This window comes from Homo sapiens, chromosome 2 (genome assembly GCF_000001405.40).
Source record: "Homo sapiens chromosome 2, GRCh38.p14 Primary Assembly".
NCBI classification, from domain to species: Eukaryota; Metazoa; Chordata; class Mammalia; order Primates; family Hominidae; genus Homo; species Homo sapiens.
Genome location: NC_000002.12, coordinates 142859437 through 142880217, shown reverse-complemented (window position 1 = coordinate 142880217; position 20781 = coordinate 142859437). Strand labels below are relative to the sequence as shown.

The window sequence follows — 20781 nt, the reverse complement described above, 5'->3', positions numbered from 1 at the left end:
TGTTCTACCCTACTGAACTGAACTCTACCTGGGGGCCTGAATCATGTTTAATTTATCTTTATAGACATCTCATTTAGACAGAGTACCCCTGCCGCCAAAGTGGCAGTTCGAGAGAATAAACAAAATTGGTTGATGAATTATTTGACATAATGACATATTACTAGAAGGGCACCCTCTCTCATTCTGACCATATGAGAAAGACTTAGACAAACATTTCTAATGAAATTCAGAATCAAGAGAGCTTGCCTTATATTTGAGACTTTCTTTGGGAGGTCAGCCCTTTGAGTTGATTGGAGGTGACTTTAAACTCTAAGTGGGGTTACTTAAATAAAGAGATTAGTTTGTTACCAACAGATTCTGAATAAAATTCAACTTTCCTTATTTTAAAAATGATACTCATTAGCGTCATTCTATCTGTATCTTATTTAATGCTTGTAATAATCCTGAGGCATCAGAATCCTTTTCCTCTATATTGAGATGAAAACCTGGCACAGACAGAGTAGAAACCAGTGGACTAAAAGGATAGCAGAGTGCACAGTAGGGTACTTAACCATGCCTGAGATGCTGAGTCCATTGTGCTGGTCTTTGGCAAAGCCCATGAATGGAATGCACAGAGCTCAATTCCTCCTCGAAGCCTTGAACCTCTCACTTTATTTTTCCTTGCCTGTTGCTTCCTGATGTGTGTGTGTACGTGTGTGTATTTCTTCAGCTCATTCCCTTTTTCTTTGGCTTCTTTTTTCAGTCCTACACTTAAGCTGCAAAGGACCACAAGCTACGTATGAATTGATTTACCTTTTTAATCCATCCTTCCCAGTCCAGTTTCAGCCAGGCAAAAGTTAAAGTGGCTGGTTCCGCTCCTGGGCCTGTCACATCTGGGGTACCTTGAGATACCTGATGGGCATAGTCTTCCAAATGACTGCACCCTGCCCTACTCCACCACTTGCACAACTTCGCATGGTCTCAAATATAGTCTTTAGTTCCCAGAATAGCATAGTGCACTCACTCTAAGGATGCAATTTATTCACTCATACTAATTGCTGCTTAATTCTGCATTCACCCCAGCAGCTAAGACAATTAGTGTTCACAAGCCATAATGTTATGCCATGTTTAGTTTGCAAATAAAGTGACATGCTCATATTCTGAAAGGAAGAACTTAAATCCAAACTTTTAAAAACTTCAACTTTTACATATTTTACAAATTTTCAAATGTTACATATTTAGTGTTAATTTTATCAAGACGGGGGACATACATACCATATGGTCTCAGACAAATCACCTAACTGCTCTGTATGTCAATGTTATTTAAAGTTAAATTTTACTTTCTTCAAAGGATTATGGTTAAGCTCAAATGACATTAGGTCCTTTATAAAAAGATAAAAGATAGTTTGTAATATTTTTTTAAATTATCAATACCTTCTGATGGACAGCATCAATGTGCCTTCGATTTAGGTTTGGAAATTGTGCTTTCACAATTTTATTTAGACAGCTACAACTTTAAAGTAAAAAGCTTGTATAATAATTAAAAACTGATTGATTTTAACGAAATCACAGAATTCAGAATCTCCTAGTCACCCACTGATTTAGGGCTAAATAGTTAAATAAATGACTGAGTGTCTGGTAGTTAATCTTTACACAGTTTCACATTCATGCCTGAAATAAGCAAATTGTACATAGGAGTTCAAAGTTTAGAACCTGACTTAAAAATATGTTGAGAAAGCGTGTAGTTTTTCATTAGTAAAGAAAAAAGGAAAAACAATATGCATATTGAGCAAGATTCTTTAAGCATATCATTGAGAAATGGGTAACATTACTCTGCTACGAGTGTATATTTCATATCTAGGATATGAATTACTTGCTGAACACGTTAAGAAAATCAATACATTTGCTTCAGTGTTACTACTAAATAACACCCCACTGGCCTCAAAATAAAAGCAGAAAGGAAAAAAGAAAATCTAGTATATTTTTAAAAAGTGTATCAACTTTCTTTTCTTAGGTTTCATAAAATGAAAGGGGAAGAAACTCTGTTCAAGAGTAGGCATTTTCACTTCTCTAAATAAATATTTAATATGACTACTAGCAGCATAAGACAATTAAAGTTACCAGAAAACAGAGGACTTAAAATCTGTTTAAGAATATCTTTCCCTCGTCTGGAGTTTGACCTAATCTTACCGCTTAAACTCAAATAAGAACAGGACTAACTTTGGTTTGTCAAATGTAACCATATTCAGTGCACTATGTTCATCAGTTCTTTTCTATTACATTAGTAAAGATCTTTTCATTTAACCCATTTCTAAAGGTGGGGCCTTTAGGAAGGTCATACCATTTTTATTTACAAAAAGAATATATATAAAAAAAGAAGAGAGTAGCAGAAAAAAACCTCTAAAACACTATGACAAGGATTCTAGCTGACAGAAGTTTCATTTGGAAAAAACATGGAGTAAACATTAGGGTAGAGAGTTTTTATCAGCGCCTCAAGCTTACCAGCTAGGATCCCAATGGAGTGTTTGGCTCCCAGAATCTCTCCAAGAACCTCTCAAGAATTCCTTGAAAATGTACAGGCCAGATCTTAGGGTGAGAAATTCAAAGAACTGCTCAGACTCCACCCAGTGGAGAATTTATAAATATTTTACTTTACTTCCTCTCCCCTAACCAATCGGTAATCTCCAGCCACTGTCAGAAATTTAAGCAACATGTGCTCCTGCCCACCATTTCAAATGCCAGAGCCTCCAGTGAGGGCTTCTTTCCAGAGGCAACTTTGCTCTTTAAACTCAGGTAAACACACACTTGTCCTTTAACTATATAAATCTCTGACCCCTGAACTGATGAGTTGGTCTTAGAGCTAAATTCCAAATTTTGCCTTTCTTCTTCACTTTGAGCTCTGGATTTTTGAGACAATACCCTCCTTCAAATACACTGAGGATTTTCAGTCTGATGGTTGAATCTATGACATTTAATGGGTAAACTTTTTAGTCAAAAGTTTAAAATAGGCTCTCAATTCCAGAATACACTCTATTGCCTAATATGTGAGTTTTCAAAAACTCCTAGGTAATAAATCTGGACAGTTAACAAGACAATGAAGGAAGAAAGATCTGAAGATTCAAGTGGAAACTAGCCTGGCAAACTTCATTAATGCAAATTATTCATTTAAGTCTGTGAATTGTCTTTTGTTCTAGTCTGACTACCTCTTTAGGCTTATTCCTGAGCTTGGGTCTTTTGATGAATATCCTTGTAGTTATAAAAACTAAGAGCAAAGACTTTCGATATTAGGACTAGGGATGAAGAATGTGCTTGAATAATTGAATGACTTATGCACACCTATGCTTTATTTAGTAACCCACAACAAATCAAGTAAAGTGTCATTTAATCATTTCTATCAAGTGTTCATTGTATAACCCTGAGCAATTCACTTAACCCTTGTGGAGGCTCAGTCTCCTATTTATCAAATGAACTTAATAATACCTTCCTCCCAAGATTACTGAAACGATAAAACCATGCAGGTTGAAGGCCATAGATACCATGACACTCAAGTCAAAAGTGACATATTGTCTTTTTTTTAATCTTAAGTAACCAGACAAAAAGTACTACTCTCCAGTTTCCAAGAGAGGGAGATAAAGTGCATGAAATTGCTTTAATACGAGTAATTGACCAGTGAAAATAAAATATATTTCACTTCATTGATCCTATCCTTACAATAATCCTATAAAGTAAGTAGACTACCAATTGATTAACTTAGAATAGTAAAAGTTTGAATCCATTCAGGAAATTTCAGAAGGTGTACTTTTTTTGCATCTATTCTGTGTATGCCTCATGCTGTAAAAACTTTGGAAGATTACCAGGCTCTAATATATGGGGAGCGAACCAGAGGGCGGATCTGTGTCATTTTTGTGTCACTCTTTTAAAGACTGACTATAGATTTAGAGAGCTAGATATGGACATTAAGGTTTTGTTTTCACAAGATCTTGCTTCTTCTAAAATCTTGTAATAATATGATTAAAAATTTCATCAAAATATTATCTTAAAAACTACTGTTTAACTTGTCACCTTTAAAGAACTTGCTTGGAGGTCTAAGCTATACTTCTATTTCTTATGTTTTATAAATTTCTTTCTTTCTTTAAATTTGTTACATTTGAGGAATAAAAATAAAATCCCAAGCCCCTAGATTAACTGAACGGACACGCTCTTGGCCAAGGGGATCCCAGAGTAAACTTGAAAACTAAGTTTTTGGCCATGACAGGATAGGAAGTGGAACACATACCCGCTCCATCACTAACTATGATTAGGCTTTCTGCCCTATGGCTAAAAAGAAACCAGTCATTTCAAAAGATTACACCAATGACATCAACCATCACCTGGTGTTATCCCTCTCTTTTGTGGTTTGGAACAAAAAGAAAATACTGATCATGGAATGTTTCTGGCTAGTCTATGGAGAATGTGCAGTAAAGGTTTTCATGTCCTCTGCTTCACATTGGGCTGAAAACTGCCCCCTCAGATTGTATTAATGCTGTCATTTTTTGAACACGGATCCCATGGAGAAGCATGAAACTCCATTGTGCATGTGCACATTTCTCCTTTCACAAATATTCATGGCTTCCCCTATAGCTTATTGAATATATATATTCAGCTACCCTGCTCAACATAAATTTCTGTTTCCTTTGCTCCTCCCTCAAAATGTCTGTTTCCAGCTTCTGATTAGAGGCTATACTTTTCAGAGGTCAGAATGATCACCCTGCAGGCTGCAATCCTTTATGTGAAATGAAGCTCTCCTTTCCAAATGTATGAACCTGTCATTCTTCAGTTGACACTTTCATTCATTCAAGAAAAGTATTAAGCATATTCTCTGTACCAAGCACAAAGTGAAATGCCAGGGATGTAATGGGGAGCAAAACTTGTATAATAACATAGGCCGCTAAATACAGAAGGGAATTATGAGAGAACGAGTCATGCGGGGAGGGGTGAAAGCAAGACCCGCTACAGGGCCAGCAGTCAAGGTTAAACAGAGAACACTGTGAGATACCATTCCTTCCTTTTGGAAACAGGAAGAAAAAAAGTGTTGCCAGAATAAGCTGTTGTACAATTCCGAGTTGTCTATTAATTTCCAGGTATGGCATCCTGCTTATAAAATGATATGTTTCCGAGAGGAAAAGACTAATTTTATCCTCCTCAGAGCTCTACCTATGTATGGAGCTAAATAAATATCTACTGAATTGGTTAATTTGTTTTTTTTTAATTAAGATCTAGTTTATTTTCTAAAAATTGATTATTGGAAATATGGGAAAGTTTTGTCCTCTCAAAAGGTAATCTTGAACCATGAACTTTATTCTTATTCTTCAGGGCATTTTCGCCATAGTTAGGCCAGTATCTAGCATTTAGTAGACTAAAATGGGTGCTTGCTGGATCATTAACTAAATTAAATTCAGATCAGCAAACTCTTTATGTAAGAATCCAAGGCTGCACTACCAGGCTGATCATAACACTCTAATGCTGGGTGCTCAGTATGTGAAATGAGTAATGAGATTAAAGACAGAGACAAGTTAGGAAAGAACTAATAAAAAAAACTGCAGTCTCAAACTTGGGTAAACAGAAAATTTCACAATACGCTATTTTTCTTAATTAAATAAAAACGCAGAGCTCACATGTGACTTCTTAGGAGGAAAATTTACTCTGAGTCATTATTGGAACTCTCCTTTCTTCTTTACACAGGGTGTTGGGAAGTTCCCAGATGGGAGGGGCAGATTAGCTTCCTTCTCTCTGCCCTCCTGCCTCTCCTTTCCCCTCACCATATCCCTGGGGCCTTGCACACCCAATCACTCTTTCCAAACTTCCCCTTGGGGATAACCAATATAACATAACAAAAACTTTCTCAAATGCCAGTCATGAGATTTGCCTTAAGCAATTTCTGCCAAGGAACCTACAGCATCTTCTCTATATGGGTAGGGGAAAATATAAAAAACAGAGCACACACAAAATTATCTCTCCTCTCTTCTTCCCTCTCCCCTTATCTGTCCTTCCTTCCCCTCTCCTTCCTTTCCTGCTGCCCCCTCCTCTTTCCCTCTTCTTGCCTTCTCTCCTCTTTCTCTAATGCCCTCCTCTTGCCTTCTCTTCCTCTCTCTCTCTCTCTCCTTTTCTTTTTCCCTTTTTCTCTCTTCCCTCCACTGCACTCTCATTTCCTCACCCATACTCTCCTTTCTTCTCCCTCTCCCTCCTACAACAGGGAAGGCAAAGCAAATTAATATGCTAATAAATCACTAGGCTATGTTTAGACAATCTACTTTTTCCTTCCTGTGAGATACATAGTCTGGTTATTAGAAAAATTTCTCAGTAATGGGCGGGGACTTTCCTACCCTCTCTATATGTTGTATTTTCAGTTTTTCAGAGGAAAATGCAAGGGCTCGTTATAAGCAAATGACATTTTGCCAGTTGGTGATTAAAATTTATTTAGAATCTAAAATTCCTATAACCCATTCCCTTTTTCCTAGATCAGAACTTTTCCCTCACTGTTAAACTCACAAAGGTATAGAAGGCAATCTAAATCATGTGCGGTAGCAGAAGAACTTTAGTAGTTTTCTGTTATATGTGTTTGCAGGTCAATTTGCTCAATTGTCTGATTGTTTACATGAGGAATTTCTGAGTTTCCTGTAAAACATGAAAAACCCAAAGTGACTTGAGTCATATTGACATCATTGACCACATAACAACATCATTGATGTCATGATGACTCTGGAAAACGGGAACAGGCATTACAAAATCTCCATTTAAAGACAAAGCTTTCATATACCAGGGTTTCTTTCTATAGTACAAGGTACGATGTACATGCCCTCTTTTACCATAACAACTTACAACAGAAAATTTTTTTTCTTAATATTAAAAATGACTATCAACAGGGATAGTGTAGAGCTGATGTTTGGAGATGTCACTTCAAGATCCTCTTCTGGGATTTGTCCTTTTTCCTATGTTTGTCTGGCAAAGTATTTTCTAGTGTCACTAATAAACGGTGTAAAATTTCCCATTTTGGAAGTGTCCAGTATGGGTCCACCATTTTGCCAGTCGTTTGAAACTTCTCATAGCTTACAGTATGACAGACACCAAAATATAGCAAATTCCTAAATTGTCTTAACCCCACATCGCAGGCAGGGGAAAAGAGTTCACTAGACTAGGATCTGAAGAATGGTGCAATATGTCCCCAAAAGCCAAAGAAAAGTGCTTCTGAGGGGCTCTGAATCTAGACAAGGAAGATGCAGAGTATTAGATAAGAATAAGAGCTAGTAAGAAACAGAAAAGGACAAATGCATTTGAAATTTTAACTTGTCTTCATGTAAGAAAATAGTGTCCTCTATAGAAATATTTTTGTAATTTAGAGGAAAAATATAATTAGTTAGCAAAATACAAATTTTCAAAACTGACCAAATAAGAGAAACACTTGAAGAAAACAATTCCTTTAGAGGAGATTAAAAATGCATTTAAAGAGTTATTGTATAAAAGGAAACATCCCCACTGCCAGGAAGTACAGAAAAAAAAATAGAAGGCAACATTACGTTTGAAAAGTTTTGCATATGAATTCTAGCACAGCATTAAAGATTAGGAGAACCTCATGTTATTCAAACTATTCCAGATCATACAAAAAGATGAGCTTTCCTGTTCATTTTCTGAAATTATGCTAATTTCAGTTCCAAAGCTTGATTAAGAATAGGAGTGTAAGCTTCAAAATACTGTTTCAATTAAAAAAAAAGTTGATAAGGAATTGTATCACATCTATTTTCCTCAGAGCTAATTATTATTATTTATTTCAGATAAACAGGTTTTATTTTCACCTTGAAAGAGTCTGTTTTTTTGTTTGTTTGTTTGTTTTTGAGACTGAGTCTCGCTCTGTCACCCAGGCTGCAGTGCAGTGGCGTAATCTCGGCTCACTGCAAGCTCCGCCTCCCGGGTTCACGCCATTCTCTCCCCTCAGCCTCCTGAGCAGCTGGGACTACAGGCGCCCACCACCATGCCTGTCTAATTTTGTTTTTGTATTTTTAGTAGAGACAGGGTTTCACTGTGTTAGCCAGGATGGTCTCGATCTCCTGACCTCGTGATCAGCCCGCCTTGGCCTCCCAAAGTGGAAAGATTCTATACTTAAATTGTTTTGTAAAAAGATTATACAAAGTTTAAATAATCCTGCAAACATACAAAGTAAACAACCAAGTATATGTGCAATAGTTTTGAGCAATATCACTCATAATTACATAACAGTAATCATTCGTTTTATTCAGGATACACTAATTCAGTCTAAAATAAATTACAGCTTTTCCCTGCTGTATTGTTTTACCATATTTTGTTGTTTTACATGGTGTTGAACTGTATTTTCCTTTTCAGCTTATTTTTAATTTAAAAAATGTTTATTCTTTTATATAGATTTTATTCTATTCCATTGTGCAATTTTAGGTTCATAGCAAAATTGGGCAGAAAGTACAGTGAGATCCCTGTATCCCCTTACCCTCAACTTATTTTTTTTCTTTCTTTTTCTTTTTGAGACAGGGACTCATTCTGCTGCCCAGGCTAGAATGCAGTGGTGTAATCATGGCTCATTGCAACCTCCACCTCCTGGGCTCGAGTGATCCTCCCATCTGAACCTCCCCAACTAGCTGGAACCACTGGTGCGCACTACCACATCCGGCTAATTTTTGCATTTTTTGTAGAGACAGGTTTTCACCACGTTGCCCAGGCTAATCTCAAACTCCTGAACTCAAGCGATCTGCCCACCTCGGCCACCCAAAGTGCCAGGATTACAGGTATGAGACACTGTGTGGTCCCCTCAACTTATTTTTTTAACATTTTTTTTTCCAATGAAGTTGCTTGTCTCTTTCACTTTTGTCCAATTTGTTTCTTATATTTTCTTTTTATTATTATTTTAATATTGATTCATTTTTTAACTCTTTTTTATTCCTTTTATTTCTTTCCCTAGTTTATTTCATAACTCACTTTTATGCTTATTTCTATTTTACTGATTTCAGTATTAATTATTTTAAATTGCTTTCTTTTGCACAGTTTTAGCTTTATTATTTCTTATATTATGCTATTTATTCTTTATTTTTGCTCAACTTCTTAGTTTCTGGCATTCTGTTCTTTCACTTTATCTCATTGGTTTAATTTCATAATTCAAATTATTTCCTGGTTATTTTAACGTTCATTTTAAGAAATTGTTATTGCTTTTAATTTAAAAAATGGTCTTTATATGGTATATGAAAAACAATTCAATATGGATAGCCCCAAGGACAAAGAGTCTGTACCATGGAAAGGTGGCCTTGCAGTTTTCTATCAAACTTCCCAGGAGCAGAAATTTGCAACCTCCTCTTTGCCGCAACACACCAAAAGGAGCAGAATCATTGACTCTTAGTAGTTCTCAGCTGTGATGCAACAAAGCATTTCAAAACCTCTAGCTGAATGCTAAGACAAAGGTAATCATAACTTTGGTTCATATTCCTGTCGCATTATTTGTAGTAGAACATTTTATATCCTGAGTAATATCAGTTCTGTTTGTTAGAAATGTTTTCTTCCAACTTATAAATGTTATGCTAAGTTAAACTGTTTCTTCACTGTAACTGCAGGCTTCTCATTGTGTGAAAGCTGAAGGATCTCTCCCTGCATTCCCTTCATGGGCATCTCTAGGCTACTTGGCCTCATGGATGCTTCAGGCTCTCCAGTGGCTTCAGAGATCCCTAGTTTCCAGGTTTGATGATCCTGCCTCATTCCTAACCTTCCTGCATAAAGACAAAAGACAAATGACAAACTGGGAAAAAATACTGGAATATATAGTGAATATACAAGTTAATATTTTTTTTTTTTTTTTTTTTTTTTTTTTTTTTTTTTTTTTTTTTTTTGAGACAGAGTCTCGCTCTGTCGCCCAGGCTGGAGTGCAGTGGCGGGATCTCGGCTCACTGCAAGCTCCGCCTCCCGGGTTCATGCCATTCTCCTGCCTCAGCCTCCCAAGTAGCTAAAATTATTATTATTTATTTTCATTTTACTCAATAAAATATTCCCATTTGTTCATGTTATACTTTTTCCTATGAATTTAATTTTTATCTTAATATAGGAAAACCTGTTTTCGTTGATATTTTGCTTGTATATTTTCTTTGATTTTCTCTTTTTCAATATCTTTTGTGTCATTTTATTTAGTTTTTTTTAAGGCACATACTTAAATATATATCTACATACCACTTTACATTTATATCGATTCTGCCACTGTGTTTCACCCTGTACAACAGAGCGAGACCCCATCTCTATTAACAACAAAACAAAACAAAAGCAATTCGTCTCATACAGGACCCCTATATCTTTATTGTGCTTGAAAAATGGATCTTTGGACTCACTGCACTGACATAGGCTGAATGCAATAGTAGGTTAATGTTTTACTGACACCAATGAGTAGCTAAGCAGGATACTCCAGATTTTTAATTGATGAAAAGACACGAATATAGAACAAAAAAATAATCAGCCAGAAGACATAGGCAGAAGAAATTGCTTTCTAATTTCCTCTTATCCATGACTTTTCACAAAAAGCACAGAATCATAAATTCTATTGGGTTTTTAACAGAAAACATGGAGTCTTCACTTTGACCAATGACTGTCTACTCCTTCCTTCTATAGCATTCCCCCTCCTGCTGCATGTCTCAGTCTAACTGGTCATTGATAGTGGCAGGAGACAGACAAATTCCTAGGCCGACAGGGTTGGGTTCCTGGTGAAACCCAGCCTTCAAATCAAAGACAATTTAAAGCCTGAAAACCGACCTGCTGATTCCAGATAGAGTCTACAACCAGAGTAAGAACTTCTATTCCTGTTCGCCCACTGTTTCCCTAGTTGGTCCTTTCTGAATAATGCTTTTTTTTTTTTTTTTTTTTTTGAGATGGTGTCTCACTCTGTTGTCCAGGCTGGAGTTCAATGGCACGATTTTGGCTCACTGCATCCCCCACCTCCCAGGTTCAAGTGATTCTCCTGCCTCAGCCTCCCGAATAGCTGGGATTACAGGCATGCCACCACACTCCGCTAATTTTGTATTTTTAGCCAAGACGCGGTCTCACCATGTTGGTCAGGCTGGTCTTGAACTCCTGACCTCAGGTGATCCACCTGCCTTGGCCCCTCAAAGTGCTGGGATTACAGGCATGATGAATAATGCTTTTTAACCAATCAAATGTTGCCTTTTCCAAGGCTACCTACAACCTGCGCCTCCTAATTGCAAACCTATAAAAACCCCAGACTCAGCCACACAGACAGCAACCTGCTTTCTGGCCCTTGGTACACAGCGGGCTACCCACTTTGGGTCCCCTCTTGCTGTTGAGAGCTTTTCTGTCGTTCAATAAAATGATTCTCTGCCTTGCTTACTCTACGCTGTCTGCATACCTCATTCTTCTTGGTTGCAGGACAGGAACCCAGAACCTGAAGAATAATGGGAGCAAAAAAGTTTGTAACATACTCCTGGCCAGCTCACCAAGCTGAAGGGGGTGAGGATGACAGGAGCTGTGACCCTTCTGGGGGCCCAGACCTTGGGACTCTCTGAGCCAGAGCTGTAACACACCACTGTTCACTAAGCCACAGGCGGCAGGAATGAACAAGCTATAATACGTTCCCACTCGCCGAGCTGCAAGCAGCAGGAAGGAGAAAGAGAGTTGTGGCATTCCCCGGTGTCTCAGACCTCGGGACTCCCCTAGCAGAAGCTGTGACCCCCACTTGGTGCTCCGTGGTTGCTTGTTTTTCTGAGTTCTCTGGCACCACCTTGTCCCTCCTTGTCTGAAGGCCCACACCCAGCTGTGGAAACCACTTTGGGCACACCCGGTCCCACTATGGGCTGTGCGCAGAGCTGTGGTGATCACAGAATCTGGGAGTGAGCCAACAACAGCCTGCCAGGCCAAGCGGGCGGAGCAAGCCCAGAGGGACTGAGCAAAGCTGGGGCAGAGTACCAGCCACAGAGGTTTTCAGCTGGCAAAGCGGCAGCAAAAGAATCCTGTCTCATCATCATGTTACAACTTCCTTTGGACAGTTTCTTAACTTCATTCCCTGTCTCTATATTTCACCTTATAATCAAAACTCTATGTCATCCATAGATCAATTTTTCTAAAATGCAAATGAAATCATGTCTTAAGATATTATGTAAAGGCCTTTTATAAAATACATTTTTTTCTATATTATGATTATTTTTCATTGTAGAGATGGGGGTCTCACTATGTTGCCCAGGCTTAAAAGCCTTTCTTATTGATATCTGAAAAGGGTGAAGTTTTAATATGACACACCGGGCCTGTGCCTAGTTCTAGAGTCTCATTTTGAGTGTCTCTTCCCCATGGATGCTATAGTTCAGCAAACTTAAAATTGAACTGCCCCAAACTCTCTCACTTGCCTCTCTGTTTTTCCTTAAGTGCAGTTACTTCTTTTCTTTGCAATATTCTTTTTTGTGTCTCTTTCTTTCTTTCTTTTTTCCCATTCACCACTGATCAGAAGGCAGGAATATTTTCTTTCTTGATTGCCCTTTTTAGGAAATCAACTTGAGTTTCAATCCTAACTTTGAGATATTACTTTGTACTCCAGTCAGTTTGTTGTCTCTTTTTAAAATGTTTCCGGCTGGGTGTGGTGGCTCATGCCTGTAATCTCAATGCTTTGGGATGCTGAGGCAGGAACACTGCTTGAGGCCAGGAGCTCAAGATGAGCCTGGGCAACAAAGTGAGGCCCCATCTCTGCAAGAAATTTTTAAAAATACAATAAGATAGAGAGGAAATAAGATAATTACTTCTGAAGGAGGTAACATGTTCTATAAATCAGAAGTATGACTGGAGGTATGAGGTATCCTGGAGGTATGTGTGGATTTATCTGCCTGGTATGGCCCAATTCTCTTTGTTATTAAAGCAGGAAATCAACACGACTCAAGTTTAGCACCAGGTAACGTAGGTTTCATGTGGCAAGATGACTTAGCTAAACTTGATCATCATGTTTGAAGCCAATGGCTGCTGATCTTTACTTCCCTATCAAACCTGCTGCAATGCTTTATAGTAATGGCTATGTACTTTCTATACACTGTCTCCTTCAGTCTTATGTCTCTTTCCAATACTCAGAGTGGAATGGAGTTTAGGGATTGCTCCCTGGTCTATCCAATTTTCCAAAATTACTACTCTGGGTAAGATTTTTTTTTTTTTTTTAATTTTTTGAGACAGGGTCTCACTCTGGCTGCTCAGGCTGGAAGGCAGTAGCACCATCACAGTGCACCGTAGCCTCGACCTCCAAGTTCCAGGCTCAAGTGATCCTCCCTCCTCAGCCCTACAGGCATGTGCCACTGCACCTAGCTAATTTAAAATTTTTTTTGGTAGACTCCCTAATTTGCCCAGGCTGGTCTCAAACTCCTGAGATCAAGCAATTCTCCCACCTCAGCCTCCCAAAATGTTGGGATTACAGGCATGAGCCACCACACCTAGCCAAGATATTCTTCACTGTATTCCACGGGACCATACCTCCTGTCCAGGGAGAACTCCCTGGCTCACAAAAGATAAGAGTGCACTCTCTATGCCTAGCTTCTTTTTTTATATTTATTTATTTGTGACAGGGTCAGGTTTTGCTGCCCAGGCTAGAGTGCAGTGGTGCAATCATGGCTCAGTGGCTCACTGCAGCCTGGACCTCCCAGGCTCAAGCAATCTCCCACCTCAGCCTCCTGAGAAGCTGAGACTACAGGCGCATGCCACTACATCTGTCTGATTTTTGTATTTTTATTTTATAGAGATGGGAGTCTCCCTATGTTGCCCAGGCTAGTCTCAAACTCCTAGGCTCAAACATTCCACCTGCCTTGGCCTCCCGAAGTGCTGGGATTACAGGCATAAGCCACTGTGTCTGGCCCCACACTTGGACTTCGTAGGTCTGAAACTTCATTTTATTCAAGAGCTATTCTTAATATAATAGTTTGTGGTTTAAGATTATAGCTATTAACTTTTATTAAAGACAGAATTTTCTTCTCAGTTTTCTAAAAAGCTTTTTTTTTTTTCATATTCTCTTGGCTTTAAAGAGAAGAGCAGTGTAAAAGTGGCTAGTCTGCCCCTTTAACTGCAAGTTCCCCTTAAATCTTACTTTCACTTCCACAGTGTTACTGAACCTCCTCTCTGACAAAGGTCTAATGACTTCCTAATTGACAAATCAAAAACTGCCTTCTCTGCTGACAGCCTCTACATTGAAAGCTTTCGTTCCTATCACTTCTTTTACAGTGCAAATCTCAGTTAATTTCTATTCTCATTCTCCTTTGTCTTCTCTTTCAATCTCACTCCACTCTTTTCCTTGGGTTACTAAGGACAAACATATCCCTTTATTTTTGTACTTGTAGCAGTTTTTGTACTGCTCTTAATAACCCTTAGTATAGGCTAAGTTCTCACTTTACCTGTACACATGATTGCTGCTGTGATTTGTTTGTATGTATTGCTCCAAAATTCATATGATGGAACCTAACCCCCTAGGAGGTGGTATTAGGAGGTGGGGTGCTTCGCAGGTCATTAGGCTATGAGAATTCTGCCTTCATGGATAAGATAAATGCCCTTTTAAAAAATGCATCATAGAGCTGCCTCCCTGCTCCCATGCCTTTTGCCATATGAGGACACCTAGACTGCATTATCTCTGAAAAATGAGCCTTTTTCTTTTCTATTCTCCTTCTACCATGTGAGGACACGGCTTTACCTCCTTCTCCAGAGGATGCAACAATAAGGCACCATCTTGGAAGCAGAAAGCAGCCCTCACCAGACACCAAATCTGCCAGCACCTTGATCTTGGATTTCCCAGACTCCAGAACTGTGAGAAATAAATTTTTATTTTTTATCAATGAGCCAGTCTAAGGTATTTTGTTATAGCAACGCAAACGGACCAAGATAATTACCTTTTTTTACTAGAATATTTGTTACCTGAGCATGAAGTTTTATCTTTCTTTACTGCCTTTTACATAGGAGGTAATCAAATGTGTCCTGAATTCAGGTTATTAAATTATATAATGAATTAGATTATATTGCCACTGTGTTGTCTCTTTTCACCAAAATCTACTAATAAATAGTTATGTTAAGAAATTAAATATATTGCCAGGTGCGGTGGCTCACGCTGTAATCCCAGCACTTTGGGAAGCTGAGGCGGGCGGATCACAAGGTCAGAAGTTCAAGACCAGCCTGGCCAAGAGACCAGCCTGGTCAATATGGTGAAACCCTATCTCTACTAAAAATACAAAAATTAGCCAGGCGTGGTGGCAGGTGCCTGTAATCCCAACTACTCAGGAGGCTGAGGCAGGAGAATTGCTTGAACCCTGGAGGTGGAGGTGGCAGTGAGCTGAGATTGAGCCATTGCACTCCAGCCTGGGTGATGGAGCAAGATTCCGACTCAAAAAATAAAAAAATAAAAATAAATAAATAAATAAATAAATAAATAAATAAATAAATAAATAAAATAAATTATATTAAAATATCACAAATTAAAATCAACACCAAAAATAAAAGCATTATGACAATGGACTAGAAAATTTAAAAACAATAAAAACAAAAAAAATCAATGTTGAGCCATATGCCTGAGCATCAGTTTACTGTCTAGATCTAGCATGAGTATAACTTGGGCTGTTAGCTTGAGTAGGCATACATTAAGTAGACAAAAGAGAAAGTTATTCCACACAAACAATATTTTTAACAGGTTAAGCTTAAAATCCTTTAATATGCAAGGACTTACTTCTGGTTTCAAATAGAAAAGCATGTTGAAATATGATGATTTTTAGTCATTGGTCAGAAAATTTATTTTAGTCTAATTTTCACTAACAAAATTTTACAAGTAAAACATGGCAGAGGTAAACAATTTTAATTAAAATTTTAAAAAATCCACCAGAATAAAACAAACCCTTTTTTTTTTAAAGAAGCCATCACATTAAAAAAACCATCACATTAGGCCGGGTGCAGTGGCTCATGCCAGTAATCCCAGCACTTTGGGAGGCCAAGGTGGGCAGATCACTTGAGGCCAGGAGTTCGAGACCAGCCTGGCCAACATGGTGAAACCTTGTCTCTACTAAAAATACAAAAATTAGCCGAGTGTGGTAGTGTGTGCCTGTAATCCTAGCTACTCAGGAGGCTGAGGCACAAGAATCACTTGAACCTGGGCAGCGGGGTTGCAGTGAGCAAAGATTGTACCACTGCACTCCAGGCTGGGTGACAGAGTGATTATTCTGTCTCAAAAAAAATAAAAAGCCATCACATTAATAAGAATGCCCCCTGGTATTATTAAACTCTAGCTGTAGAAGCATTACAAAGAGGAAATTCTTTACCAGTACTTCTTTCCTCATTGTCACACCCCACAGCCTACTCTCTCAAAAATGAAGTTGCTTCTATCATGAGCAATCCCAGGGACGGCAGGAGAAACATATACACACACATACCGGCAGAGAGTTAGAACTAATCCTTTCCACTGCATGTCCACAAAAAAGACTGTGTTTACATTTTCAGCTAGAGATCATAGGAAAAGCTTATTCTTTGCAACTCTGTCTCTTAGCTTAACTGTTGACCCAAAGTCTTTGTTTATTTAATGAGTCCAACTCATGTTGTATGAGATATCCCTATTGTGTCTATTACTCTTTCTTCTTGTGCTCTCTGTCTTGACTACAGTACAATTACAGTACAAAGCAATAAAAGAGACACTTTCCTTTATGTTTGTGAGAATAGAGTCTATTGACATATGGTTTACAAAACAATTATGAGTACACTTACAGTGCCCATTGAATTAAGAGGGTTAGCTCAGTTTGGAAAACCCTAGCATATGTATAATTTCTAAATCTGTAATATCTAGTAATCTACTTGATAAATTAATTGAATTTATTGATTAATGCAATAAAAGTCCATAGCTGATCTGAAATCTTTCAAGAAAAGTAATTATTTTATATTTATATTTACTCTATTAGATCTCCAGAGAACATGATTAGAATTGAGCCCTTCAAAATATTCTGAAATTACATCCTCATGGAATGGCAAGATGTAATAATTGTTCTGCCTGGGGAAGTCAGAGAGGGTTCCAGAGCAGAGTATACACACATGAACCTACTCCCTCTCGTTTACTTACTGCAGACATTGCGAATAAAGCTCGCACTTCACTCTTTTCCTCTGTTTCTAGATGTGGTCTTTCATTTCCTCGGCAGAATACTCCTGGCATGATCTTTAAGGAATGAAATGTTGTCTACCAACCTCGGCTGAGTGTACACAGTTCTGGGAAAAGGTGCATCTTAGACTAATCTGATTTAGTAAGTGAATATAAAATGCTCCCCAGGACACCTTGCTAGTAAAGACTCCAACTAAGATTAGAGTATGAATTAATAGAGCCAAGAATGGACATTGGAGTGGGAATTTACCAACTAGCAATTTACTTTAATGATTATTTCCTGATAACTTCTGAAATATTTTTAATGTTTAGAGAATTTGTTTAGCAACTGAAAGGAAAACTTTCTACTAAAAAATATGCCATGCACATTTAAAAACATTCCAATTGCTCCACTGTCTTTCATATCTATCTCTGTTTGCTAATATCTATAATGCAAATTTTAGAAAACACATCTTGACTCATCAATTTATGAATTATTTTACTCCCTATCATGATATTAGCAGTACATTTTTTTTCCTTTCCCTTCTAGGCTTGTTTTTCTTCAGGAAAGGAAATCAGATACAACATAGACGTTGTGTTTCACGATGTCTTTTTCAAAATATTTTGACAACCTGGGTAATAAACCCTGCAGGAAGGGCTAGAGTAGAGTAATGATGATGAAAGTGTCACAGTTTTGAAAATATAAACATATAGATTTAATGGGTACTTTTGTGAATCCCTTTGTCATCGGCAGGTCAGGTACCTGATGCAGAAAGGGAGGTCAGATTTAAGGACAGGGTCTCTTTCCCACACAGGCAGGAGTGCCCGGCTAATGTGGGTTCAAGAACAGAGTAAGGCTCCTGATTTCCCAGCACATCTTTGTCTATCACTGTAGTCTACATGCTAAGCTTAAGGTGTCTAGCCTAAGATTTTATATGCTACTGGAAAACCACTTAGTTTAAATCTAGATTAAACTTAAATTTCCTAAATTTATACATATATCTAGGTACAACAAAATATCAATTCAATTTGAAAAGAGACACTTCTCAAAAGAAGACATTTATGCAGCCAAAAGACACATGAAAAAATGCTCATCATCACTGGCCATCAGAGAAATGCAAATCAAAACCACAATGAGATACCATCTCACACCAGTTAGAATGGCAATCATTAAAAAGTCAGGAAACAACAGGTGCTGGAGAGGATGTGGAGAAATAGGAAGACTTTTACACTGTTAGTGGGACTGTAAAGTAGTTCAACCATTGTGGAAGTCAGTATGGCGATTCCTCAGGGATCTAGAACTAGAAATACCATTTGACCCAGCCATCCCATTACTGGGTATATGCCCAAAGAATTATAAATCATGCTGCTATAAAGACACATGGAGATGTATGTTTATTGCGGCACTATTCACAATAGCAAAGACTTGGAACCAAGCCAAATGTCCAACAATGATAGACTGGATTAAGAAAATGTGGCACATATACACCATGGAATACTATGCAGTCATAAAAAATGATGAGTTCATGTCCTTTGTAGGGCCATAGATGAAGCCGGAAACCCTCATTCTCAGCAAACTATTGCAAGGACAAAAAACCAAACACCGCATGTTCTCACTCATAGGTGGGAATTGAACAATGAGAACACATGGACACAGGAAGGGGAACATCACACACTGGGGCCTGTTGTGGGGTGGGGGGAGGGGGGAGGGATAGCATTTGGAGATATACCTAATGTTAAATGACGAGTTAATGGGTGCAGCACACCAACATGGCACATGTATACATATGTAACTAACCTGCACATTGTGCACATGTACCCTTAACCTTAAAGTATATATAAAAAAGAAAGAGGCTTAATAAATCCCTGGTGGTATTGAACCCTCACTATGTGTCAGATGTTGTATTAGTGTTTCACATTCATTATCTCATTTAATCCTTAGAGGCAAAAAAAAGAAAGAGTTATAGGTATGATTATTTCTACTTTACAAATCAGAAAACTGAAGTAGAGATATAATAGGCCCAGTTAATAGGAAAGTGACAGATTAGGAAAAAATTTATATCTAGAATATTTAAGAAGCTCCTCGGGAAGAAAGAAGACACAATAGAAAAATGACCAAGGAATTAAAATAAGCAATTCCCAAAGGGAAAACCTGAATGGCTAATGCATTTTTAAAGAGATGGGCACTTTAGAAATCAGAGAAGTGCATGTTAAAGGCATGCTGAAATATTTTAATATATGAATCATGTTGTTAACAATTAAAAATTTAGATAATATTTACAGCTGGAAAGAATGTGGAAAAGTAGGAAGTCCACTTTGCACTCTGTTCCAGTACAGCCATTATAAATAGCTTTATTCAGTTTATTGACACTAAATAGGAACATACCCAATGTCCCAGCAATTTTACTCCTGGGTATATATCTGTATTGTTTTTTTCCCACATCAGTTATTTAAAGTGTCTCACCAGACCTCCTTGAGGCTTTTAAGGCTTTTTGCACCAACCTAATATCTAAAGAATGCAGGCAAGCTTTGGAAATCCAAGAGATACCTACAGCATGAGCTCTTGGGGGTCTTATCTTTGAGCTCTAGGACTGAGCTGAGTCTCTGATTCAAATTTCCAGGATCTGTGCTAGGAATTTTGTCTTTGGAAGAGCTCCCCTCAAAAGCTCTCAGTGCCTCCTTAAATAGTAAAATCAGGCTTATCCAATGGGTTAAGACAAAGTCAACAATAAAGAAGCTAACTTTGGGCTTGGCGTGGTGGTGCATTCCTGTAATGCCAACACTTTGAGAGGCCAAGGCAGGCAGATTGCTTGAGTCCAGGAGTTCAAGACCAGCCTGGGCAACACTGCAAAATGCCATCTCTACAAAAAATAAAAAAAATTAGCTGGACGTTGTGGTGCATGCCCATAGTCTCAGCTAGTGCAGAGACTGAGGTGGACGGATTGCTTGAGCCTGAGAGGTCGAGGTTGCAGTGAGCTGAGATCCTACCACTGCACACCAGCCTGAGTGACAGAGTGAAAGGAAGATAACTTTGGGTATCTAGGAAAGTTTCAAACCCTGAACAGAATATCATGAATTCCATTGCCCCTTCCTTGGCAAAGGTTCAAAAACCAGTCTTCTAGGCACCTCCAGAGATACAGATAGAGCTCTTCCTGTCCAGCTGGAAATCAGCCCTATCTGTACTGGATCCCGCAGAAACACTTCTTCACTTACAAAGAGAAATGTGGGCTATTGTCCATATAAGCATGTTTTCCATAACAAAGATTAGAAATGTTAAACATAAGAAAATGAAGAGACACAATATGTGATATGCATATGATGGAATACTATAGAACAGTAGAAAGAATAATATCTATCTATATCGACAGAGATATCAAAAGTAAAATATTCAGTAAAAACCACAATCATGACATTTTCATGATACGTAGTATATAATGCAATTTTGATCATAAAACATACAAGCATATACTATATATTATTCAAAAATCCCCATGGGTATAAATAATGGCATGGACAGTGGTTTGGGAAGAATGCAGATTATGAAAGAAATAATCAATGCTTATTCTAAGAGGGAATTCGATTAGGAATGGATCAAAGGAAAGAAAATAAGATATATGTGTGTATGTGTTTGCGAGAGGGAGAGAGAGAGATTGAGGGAAAAAGAGAGGAAGTGGGAAGACTTCCACACAACATAGTCC

General features: G+C 38.0%; 1 protein-coding gene and 1 long non-coding RNA gene across 9 annotated transcripts in view, besides 3 other annotated features; one reads left to right on the top strand and one right to left on the bottom strand.

The window, feature by feature from the left end:
- KYNU (kynureninase) overlaps window positions 1–2554 on the bottom strand; it is a 178170-nt gene extending 175616 nt beyond the window's left edge. For all 8 annotated transcript variants that reach the window (NM_001199241.2, NM_003937.3, XM_047446250.1 and 5 more), the window contains exon 1: window positions 2482–2554. The gene's annotated coding sequence lies outside the window, so the exon portion shown is untranslated. The remainder of the gene's footprint in view (window positions 1–2481) is intronic.
- LOC105373652 (uncharacterized) lies at window positions 9372–17353 on the top strand. The gene is made up of 5 exons (XR_923389.3): window positions 9372–9434; window positions 9585–9706; window positions 10624–10795; window positions 14659–14784; window positions 17120–17353. It is a non-coding gene; the product is annotated as an uncharacterized LOC105373652 (long non-coding RNA).
- Window positions 10311–10455: an enhancer, noted in NCBI's record as "145 bp enhancer 151 fragment used in the MPRA reporter construct; PK_construct_448". NCBI's record gives its function as "activates an SV40 promoter by MPRA in HepG2 cells {active_cell/tissue: HepG2}" and the evidence as "EXISTENCE:reporter gene assay evidence [ECO:0000049][PMID:23512712]".
- Window positions 10376–10389: a transcriptional cis regulatory region, noted in NCBI's record as "HNF1 motif; enhancer activity is reduced when this motif is scrambled". NCBI's record gives its function as "necessary for full MPRA enhancer 151 activity {active_cell/tissue: HepG2}" and the evidence as "EXISTENCE:site-directed mutagenesis evidence [ECO:0005528][PMID:23512712]".
- Window positions 11645–11864: an enhancer, noted in NCBI's record as "active region_16598". NCBI's record gives its function as "activates an Ori minimal core promoter by ATAC-STARR-seq in GM12878 lymphoblastoid cells {active_cell/tissue: GM12878}" and the evidence as "EXISTENCE:reporter gene assay evidence [ECO:0000049][PMID:35858748]".
- Window positions 17354–20781: the final 3428 nt, after the last annotated feature.